The sequence below is a fragment of the Homo sapiens genome, chromosome 15 (genome assembly GCF_000001405.40).
Source record: "Homo sapiens chromosome 15, GRCh38.p14 Primary Assembly".
Taxonomy (NCBI): domain Eukaryota; kingdom Metazoa; phylum Chordata; class Mammalia; order Primates; family Hominidae; genus Homo; species Homo sapiens.
In genome coordinates this window covers 45,392,448-45,402,253 of record NC_000015.10, presented here as the reverse complement: position 1 = coordinate 45,402,253, position 9,806 = coordinate 45,392,448, and the positions used below count along the sequence as shown (strand labels likewise).

The 9,806-nt window shown below is 39.3% G+C and overlaps 1 protein-coding gene across 5 annotated transcripts in view, besides 2 other annotated features; it reads left to right on the top strand.

Annotated features, from left to right (window-relative positions):
• GATM (glycine amidinotransferase) overlaps positions 27–9,806 on the top strand; it is a 41,104-nt gene continuing 31,324 nt past the window's right edge. For 3 of the 5 annotated variants that reach the window (NM_001321015.2, XM_047432385.1, XM_047432386.1), the window contains exons 1-3: positions 27–355; positions 2,659–2,708; positions 5,172–5,332. Coding sequence is in view for 2 of the 5 variants with exons in the window: in XM_047432386.1 (XP_047288342.1) it covers positions 5,302–5,332 (31 nt within the window). In the remaining 3 variants the exon portion in view is untranslated. Of the gene's footprint in view, positions 356–2,658; positions 2,709–4,907; positions 5,333–9,806 lie in introns of those variants that run through there. The other 2 variants (XM_047432387.1, XM_047432388.1) reach the window with 2 other exon arrangements.
• Positions 336–405: an enhancer, noted in NCBI's record as "active region_9359". NCBI's record gives its function as "activates an Ori minimal core promoter by ATAC-STARR-seq in GM12878 lymphoblastoid cells {active_cell/tissue: GM12878}" and the evidence as "EXISTENCE:reporter gene assay evidence [ECO:0000049][PMID:35858748]".
• Positions 416–465: an enhancer, noted in NCBI's record as "active region_9358". NCBI's record gives its function as "activates an Ori minimal core promoter by ATAC-STARR-seq in GM12878 lymphoblastoid cells {active_cell/tissue: GM12878}" and the evidence as "EXISTENCE:reporter gene assay evidence [ECO:0000049][PMID:35858748]".

Genomic DNA, 9,806 nt, shown 5'->3' with positions numbered 1-9,806 from the left:
GGCCTCTGGGTAGAGCGTTGGTGTCCGCTTTCGTGAAATCGAGTTGCCTAACCCAGAGCTTTCCCGAGATGGTCTTCGTTACAGGTGTCTGGGAGGCGGCTTAAGCTCACTTCACTAGGTCATTAAGCATGTACTTTGGTGGTTACATATATCTTGGAAGTCACCGGCTTTACATTCTGTTTTCCTGGCCTTCGAACTGGAGCATCAGTACTACCGCCGTTGGAATAGCAACCTAGAGACTTTGCTATTTTGTGAAGAAACTCTAACTATCCGCATGGGCACAGAATTTTGGGTGCTCTGGTGCAAATGTCTCAGGTGACTTGGCGTAACTGAGAATACAGCCTTGGGACCTTCGGTAATCGGGGTTCCAATCTGGGAGGTCCAGGCACAACCCTTCCTATGGGAAAGTACCAGCATAGTGGGAGGGAAGCACACGGTAGCGCTTAAAATCCCTTGTAGAGAGGAAAGAAGGAAAACTAGGCTACCTGATGGATTTGTAGCACACCAACAGTACATTTGTTCTGATTTCTGATATTCTTTTGAATATTCTTTGGCAACAAGTTAATCACTAAAGTTCATGCGATCAATGCTTACTGTCTAATTGGGGCACAACAGTACTAAGTCCTGTATTAGAGGCGATACCTATCTACGTTATTAAGACAACTGCCTGCTATTTTTTTTTTCCAGCTGCTTTCTGCCTTTCCCTTTCGCACAGGGAATTCCTTTTTATCAGCTGGAATACATTTTCTATCCCTCTTAATTGCCGTTAAAAAAGAACTACAGATACTCAAAGACAAGAAGATATACCTTGTTTTTATTTGACTTACATCTTCCTACCTCTATTTTCCCCACTTTCACTGCAACCCAAATTTGTGAGTTGACAAAACTGATATTTTAGAGTGCTTAAGTTGCTGGGAAGTTTTTTTTTTCTATCTATGCAAATAATCAATTACAGACTGTGTAGTAATATCTTATCAATGGGAAGTACTGTCAGATCTGGGATCTTAAGACCCATGCCAGTTCCTGATCTCATTCTGTCCAAACTTCATGGCAGACATGACAGACTTCTTGACTTGACAGTAACTTACCTGGTCTCAGCTGTACTTGTCTGCTTAAATCGATTCTGGAACAATTTAGGAATCAGAAAATAGCAGGAGGAGGTCTTGAAATGGATAAGTCACCCATTACTTCCTGTTTTCTTTTTTCCTCTTAATCCCATTGGCTTCAGTTCTTTTTGGTTTGGGGACTTTTAAATAACAGCTTTGCATTTTTTGAAATAAAAAAAAAGCCATCGTTTTTACCGACCCCTAAAGGTGTGAATTACATGCCTATCAAGTTATTTTATCAGAAGCCTGTACCTCATCGAGTTCCTTCTATTCAGCTCCAAGAAGCTTTAAGGATCTGGGAGAGGGAAAGAAGACTTACTGAGGACAGGATAACTGTCTTAAATATGTAAAGGGATCTCATGTAAAAGAGTTAGTAGATTTACTTATATTTACAGTGCAGAAATGGCCAAGAAGTAAAGGTTTAATGGAGTGGAATAACCAAAGCCAAAACAGGGAGCCAATAAAGTTAAATCGGCCTCAAAATTTTCTGAATTGGTTTAAAACAGAGGCACAAACTATGCTATTAGGAATATGATGAGAAGGAAACTACATGTTGCTTTTGGTTGGTCTAAGAGGTTGATTTTATACAAGGTCAAACAAGAACCCTCTGACCTTATAGAATCCATATGCACAGGAAATATTATTTCACTTCACTCTTTCTCTAAAAGATCCAGTCTTTACCATAGGTTGCAAACAAAAGCAACAAGGAATTCTGTTACTGGGCCTTCAGCTCTTATCCACTCACTCTGAGCAAAACTATAAATGTCTTTCCCAATCATCCAGTAAAATCCATTCTGTCCCTTTAGGTCTAACCATTTGCAACACTATGATTTCAGCCATCTGAACATCCATATTTATCATGCCATTCAATGACATAATCTCCTTGTGATAAACCATTCTTTTTATTTTTAAAATTTTATTTATTTTTTAGACAGTCTTGCTCTGTCACCCAGTCTTGAGTGCAATGGCAGGATCTCAGCTCACTGCAACATCTGTTTCCCAAGTTCAAGCAATTCTCCTGCCTCAGGCTCCCAAGTAGCTGGGATTACAGGTGCCTACCACCACGCCTGGCTAACTTTTGGATTTTTAGTAGAGATAGGGTTTTACCCTGTTGGCCAGGCTGGTCTCGAACTCCAGGCCTCAAGTGATCCACCTGCCTCAGCCTCCCAAAGTGCTGAGATTACAGGCATGAGCCACTGCACCTGGCCTCCTTGTGGTAAACCATTCTAATGGGAGTTGTGTGGCTCTTTTGCTTAGTTGTTTTTAATCTGACCAGAAATTTGTTAATTCTATGAATTGAAGAACATCAATTAAAGCACTAGAATTGAACCACTAGAGGGAGTCCAGAACCAACTAAGCCTGAAGGCTACAGGATTGTTAGGACGTTGGTGTTCTCAACTGTGGTTTCCACTCAATTTTCCCAGGATTCACACCTAGGTGTATGAAGCCATCTGTTGTCTCTATATATTATCTGGCTTAGTCTGTTCAGGCTGCTGTAACAAAATACTACGAACGAGGTAGCTTATAAATGACAGCAATTTATTTTTTACAGTTCTGGAGGCTGGGAAGTCAAAGACAAGGCACTGGCAGATTCCATGACTGGTAAGGGCCCCCTGTCTAGAGACAGCTCATTGTACCTGCACATGGTGGAAGGGACTAGCTAGCTCCCTCATGTTTCTTTTATAAGCACACTAATCCCATTCATGAGGGCTCCACTCTCGTGACCTAATCACCTCCCAAAAGGCCCTGACTCCTACTACCATCATCTCAAGGGTTAAAATTTCAACAAATGAATTTTGTGGAGGACACAAACACTGAGACCCTAGCAGTAACTGACTTATTTTCACATAATTTTTCACAAGCCTCAAGCTGTGTAAAACTCAGTTTCTAAGTTAAAATTTAATTTTTGTGTTAAGTATAAAAATGAGACTGTTCCTAAATCCAAAATTTAGTGGTAGGTCAAAATCCAAACCGATGGAATTCATCTTGCTATAGCCTAGAAACATTTCTAGCTTTAAATTGTTTCAAATAGCTTTGCCAAACAAAATCTTTTGTGAGATTTTCCCGAAAAGGTACATGTGACAAATGGTTTCTCTTTATGTCCTTTGTTACATTCAAGGTTACAATCTGTCTAATTTTTAATTAACTATAAAAATTCTTAATTAACTGTAAGTCTATAATTCAAAAGAAATAATTGGAATCTGTTTCTTTAGGATAATGATCATGCAATATTTTTGTCCCTTCAGCATATTATATATGTATATAAAAATATATTCCTGTATATGAAAAAAATCTAAAGAAAATGGTTAAACCAGTAGCATGAGTCATCTGTAGATTAAATAATGTTAATCTTTCCAGCATTTCCATTTTTGTGTTATGTTCAACCCTAATATATTTGAACATTAGCAATGACTATGAGTTGTAATAGATGAATAGAGATTTGTTTAGCCACCCTTGAAAAAGCATGATTTGCAAACACTTTCATCTCAACATGCTCATGTAGATGTAGTAAGTGACTTATTTCCACGGATAGCTAATATGCCGAACCTGTGTTCATAAAGTATGTAATGAAAATCCCCCTAAATGGGACATTGTTAAAATTGTTCTTTAGAATCTTCCATCTTTACTTTTTATCTTGTATCCAGGTTAGAATTAGTCTTTAGAGTAATTCTAGATATAGAATAAGTTATAGAATCAGAAGAAGGAGGATGAAAATATTTGCTGGATTTCAAATGACCTGCAGACTACAGTTCATAGAACATCATTCTGAAAGTCTGTTCTTGCACATTTTCAGGAAATTGCTTGATTCATCATTTTTTAGAAGTTAATGTTAAGGTAATTTTTCCCTATGATGTTGGTTCACACTTTTCAACAAACATAATAATTATATATTTATTAAAACAAATATTTATTGAACATCTACTTCTTGCTAGTTACTATACCAGAGGCTGAGTATTTGGTGGCAAACAACAACAATAAAAACACTGTAATCCTTGCCTTCATGAAGCTTATAGTCTACTGGGAAGTCAAACATTGAAGAAGTAAACAAGTGAATAAATCTGATAATTAAAGGTGATGAAAATTGCTTTGAAAGAAATAAACGGAAAAGGGCTACTTTAAACAGGTATTAAGGATAGGAAAAACAAAACAAATTGTTTTTCCTACTCTCATACACCACTCAGCCACTCAACACAGCACTTCTGACACCAGGTGTTGGTTGGGGAGTTCCCCACATATCAAGCAAATTCTCCCACAGATACCACCTGGGTGTCCTCTAATTCAATTCAATGCTGAGACTATCTACCTGGAGATAGCATCAGACTCCACAGGTTCAGGGCCCAGTCCCTCAAGACTGCCCCCCACCTTCAGATGCCAATCACAAGTTCCAGATTGTGACTTGTGCTTCTGACCAGGGACGGTCTGTAAATTGGGCTTCCCATGACCCCCTTCTTAGGTTCTATTAATTTACTAGGATGGCTCATGGAACTCAGGAAAACACATTACTTACATTTACTGGCTTATTAATAAAGGATGTAATAAGGATACAGATGAACAGCCAGGGGATACAAAGGGTGAGATCTGGAAGGGTCCTGAGTACAGGAGCTTCTGTCCCCATGGAGTTGGTATGTACCACATTCCAGGCACATGGATGTGTGTTTGCCAACCTGGAAGCTCTCTGAACCCCATAGTTAAGGGATTTTTATGGGGCCTTCATCACGTAGGCATGATCAATTATTAACTCAATTTCCAGCCTCCGTCCCTCTCTGGAGAATGGAGGTAGGGGCTGAAAGCTCCAAGTTTATGATCATGGTTGGGCTTTCCGGTGACCAGCCCTCATCTAGGAGCCGGGCAAGAATTGCCTTGGTAGAACAAAAGACTGCTCCTATCACTCAGGAAAGTCCACGGGATTTAAGAGCTCCATGTCAGGAACGAGAGTGAAGACCAAACATTAGAACCAAAGATTCTCCTAGCACCCCTGTAACTCAGGAAATTACAAGGGTGTTGGGAGCTCTAGGCCAGAGACTAGAGGCAGAGACCATATATATATTTCTTACTTCACAACAGGAAAGGAGAGAAGGTCTCTGAGGAAGTGACATTCCAGCTGAGACGTGAAGGATAAGTAGAAACCAAGCAGAAGAATTGGAAGAGGAAAGGGAAGAGGGAAAAGCCTGTGCCAATGCCCTGAGATTGGAATATGCTTTTTGTGTTTAAGAAATTAACAGAAGGTCAGTATTATCTTTACCATACTTATGGCTTTTTTTTTTTTTTTTTTTTTTTGAGACGGAGTCTCACCCTGTTGCCCAGGCTGGAGTGCAGTGGCGTGATCTCAGCTCACTACAACCTCTGCCTCCTGGGTTCAAGTGATTCTCCTGCCTCAGCCTCCCGAGTAGCTGGGATTACAGGCACAATGCTGCCACGCCCGGCTAATTTTTGTATTTTTAGTAGGAACGGGGTTTCTCCATGTTGGCCAGGATGGTCTCGATCTCCTGACCTCATGACCCGCCCACCTCAGCTTCCCAAAGTATTGGGATTACAGGTGTGAGCCACTGTGCCCAGCCCAAATACTGTATCTTAAGACTGACTATACCATACCTTTGGAAACTGTGTGCTGCCAGCTTATCTAAACATTCATCTACTCTTTTCTATTTCTACCATCAATAGGAATTTTTGTTACTTTTATTGGATCATTGCGAAAATGTCCTAATTAAACACCATCCCTCCAATCTCTCCCTAAATTGTAACTATATTAAACCAGCCAAGAAAAATCTCTTATACTTTGACTGGTTTGAGGACTATATCTGAGTTATATTAAATCTGACAATTTAGTTTATCTAAATGAATTATAGAGCTTTCAAACTTGTCTAAGCATTGACCCAGTATTGTGTAAGATCAGATCTTGGGGACTGAGCCAGAGAGAAGACCAGGCTCCAGGAACAAGGAAGATACTGTCCAGAAATGGTTTATTCATAGCAACTTCAAGGCAAGTTTATCAACTTTCCTCGATCGCTTTCCCTCCTCCAAGATAAGTATTCCTGCTCTGAGTTTCCTTGATACCCTGTGCGTACCTCTTAGAGCAGTTATCGTATTATGTTTTAGTTGTGGTATCCTTGTCTTTCTAAACCCTTTAAGGACAGAAAATGAGTCTTGCTCTTCTCCAGGTGCTCTGTACTTACCACAGTACCTAAAGGATTTAAGTGTAAAATCAAGATATGTTGAATGAATGAATGAGTAGCAGCAAGGCTGGATTGGTAAAATGGGACTTAGTCGTGGAAAGCTTGAATGCCATTTTTTTTTTATTCATTCTGTACCAGGAAATGTGCGGTAAATGGGAGGGAATGACATCCAGAGCACTATAGTACAATGGTGGACAGGGCAGAGTTAATGGTATTCTCTCCTCCAAGTAAATGCTTTACTCCAGGACATTCATTTATAAATCCTTAATGCAAATTTAACTTCCCTCCAGGAAGATGTATTTCACATCTTTAGTTCAAATTGTTCTTGTCTTAATCTGAGGTCCTGTAGCACTGTCCATACATTTATGCATCTAGTTGCATTCTGTTTGCATTGCTAGACAATTGTTTAAAGTGACTTTGTATTATTTTTCCAGTGAGATCTTTAAGTGATTTGGGAATTTGTACCTCTTTTTTCTAATCTTTTATAATTTTTGTTCCCCATCCCAGCGTTGAGCAAAATGCTAGGTGTTTAATAGTTAAATCTGTCTGTTTCCTCAAATACTAGAAATCCACTTAGTTTTTATTTGAATCTAGGAGAATGAGCTTGAAAAATCTAAAAAAAATTGGTTTGGGTTTTATACCTAAGGTATATTAGAGTTGAGAATTTTAGCCTGCTATAATAACTCTTAGATCTTTAGAACACTCAGACTTGTCTAGTAGTTGACCTAATATTAAATATGACCTGGTCTTGGGGACTGAGCCAGAAACAAGGCCAGCCTACAGATAGGATAGAGATTGTCTGCAAATGGCTTATTCATATTAATTCTCAGGTATCCATTTCATCAAAGTTTCCTCTAGTGCTTTGCTACACCCCATCCAAAAAATGGGATGAAGTCTTGATTTCTTCTTTCTAAGACACTAAAATCAGACAGAGGAGACAGAAATATCTGTTTGCTGCACCATTATTTCTCACTGATGGACAAGATCTTGCCAAAACAATGCAAGCCCTGAGAGACAGGGGAGAGAGAGATCTCATGACCTTTTAGCCTTGGAATGGGAGGGCTGACTCCAAAAGAAATGACCCGCTGGGTTCCAAAATAGCAAAACTGAAGACAAAAGGATGAAGATACGTGTTCTGAATCCTCTCAAACTGAGCAGATAGGGAACTTTGTTTAGAATAATTACATTATTCACCCCATCCTTGGTACTGAATGTTTCATTTGTCCATTGAAATGAAGGTCACTGTTTCCCTCCCACACCCTAAAATATGTGAGAGTAGCCATGAATGCCTAGGCATTTTTCAGAATTTTCTTTGTCCCACTTCTTTATAGACCTGCAAACTTTTCTGACTTTGAGTGAACTCAGTATGTTTCAGAACCATGAAATAGTGCCTGACCCGCCTGGTGCCTTTGGAATGAAGTTTTGGCAAACACACTACGCCCAGATAGAATTCAACAATTCTTCCTCTGGTTTTCCTCAACATGTAACCTTCCCACCTTTTTAGCACTTGGCTTAATTCTGCCTTGAGTTAGTTGTTTTCCTGTCTGTCTTTCCTCTACTTCAGCAGTCCCCAACCTTTTTGGCACCAGAGACCGATTTTGTGGAAGACAATTTTTGCACAGATGGGGTGTGGCAGGAGGATGATTTCAGGATGAAACTGTTCCACCTCAGATCATCAGATAGGCATTAAATTCTCATAAGGAACGCACAACCTAGATCCTCTGCATGCCAGTTCACAGTATATAGTAAGATTCACACTCCTATGATGATCTAATGCTGCTGATCTGACAGGAGGTGGAGCTCAGGTGGTAATGCTCGCTCAGTCCTGCTCGCCTCCTGCTGTGTGGCTTGGTTCCTAACAGGCTGTGGACTGGCAGCGGTCTGTGGCCCAAGGGTTGGGGACCTCTGCTCTACTCCCTCCTGATTGTAAGAGTTGATGCTATGTGTTAGTCATCTTTGATCTTTCATTCTACCTTCTTCCAGCAGGGGCTAGCATTGCTACTGGCTTGCTGTATGGTCTTGAGCAATTCATTTAACCTTTCTGAGCCTGATTCTTAAAATCTTTGAAATAGATTATTGTGAGATTAAGTGACATACTACAGGTTGAGCATTCCTAATCCAGAAATCCAAAATGCAAAATGCTCAGCATCAAAAACTTTTTGAGTGCTGACATGATGCTCAAAGGAAATGCTCATTACAGCATTTCAGATTTTGGATTTCTGAATCCAGATATTGAATCAGTTAAGTATAATGCAAATATTCCAAAATTCAAAAAAATCCAAAGTCCAAAACACTTCTGGTCCCAAGCACTTCAGATAAGGGATACTCAACCTGTATGATGTTCATTGTAATTATTATCATCTATCAGGATGTTATGAGATAATTTATAGAAATTTCTTTTGAAGGGTAAAAGCTCTATTGGCATGTAATGTAAGGCTCCAATAAACAGTAATAGCTACACAGATAGAGTACCAGGTACAGTTGTAAGTGTTTACAGTATGATCTCATTTAATCCTCCCAATAACCTTGGGAGGTTGGAACTATTTTTTTTTTTTAATTTATAGTTGAGAGAACTGAGGCGCAAAATGTTAAGTAGCTTTCCCAAGTTCACACAGCTAGTAAGTGGCAGACCTAGGATTCAAAACTAAGTGGCTTGGCTGGCTCCAAAGTTTCCACTCTGAACCACTACACTATGCTACGCTATAACCAAATCTGGCTTTGCAAACCACACCCACCAATTAATAGTTATGTGACCTTAGACAAGGCTTTAAAATTTTACACCTGATTTTAATCATTTGTAAAATGGAAATAAAACTAATACCTACCTCATAGGTTCATTTATCCAACAAATATTTCTTGAGCTCCTACCATTTGCTATATGCTGGGAATACCACAATATCATGATAACTAAATTCATGTAATGCACTTGGCTACTGCCAGGCACATATTAAGTGGTCAGTGTTAATTATTATTTTAATTAATAGTAATAAGCCAGTGACCTCTCTGAGACATATTTCCCATTACTTGGCTAGAGATTGTTCTATGTCATCACCATATAGCTGTTTTCTACTGATCCCCTAATTGTATTTTAAATTTTCAAATTGTATTTGAAAAAGAAGAAAACAGCAATACAAGTATCTTCCAGGGCTCAACAGAGTGGCTACTTTGAAGTGGATCTGATACATAATAAAGGCTAGGCAGGCATACAAAATATGCTTACTGCAAAGGAACATGAAGTACATTTGGTGAATGTGAAGATATGAAGATGATCAAATACAATGCTTTTGGGAAATTTATGGTGAGATCATCTTGGGAAACAAAGATGTGGCCCCACATTACATCCCTGGTGATACATAAAAAAACCCAGCATCCTACTTCTCAGAATCTATCTAGGAATGAATGGCTTGTTGTGGGTGCTCTTCTATGCTGTGCTTTGGTGCTCTCAGGATTCATCCTGTGTTTACCTACCCCACGTTCTGTGACAGCCAGAAGTAATTTGCTAGGTTACATAGAGACTTTATCTCTG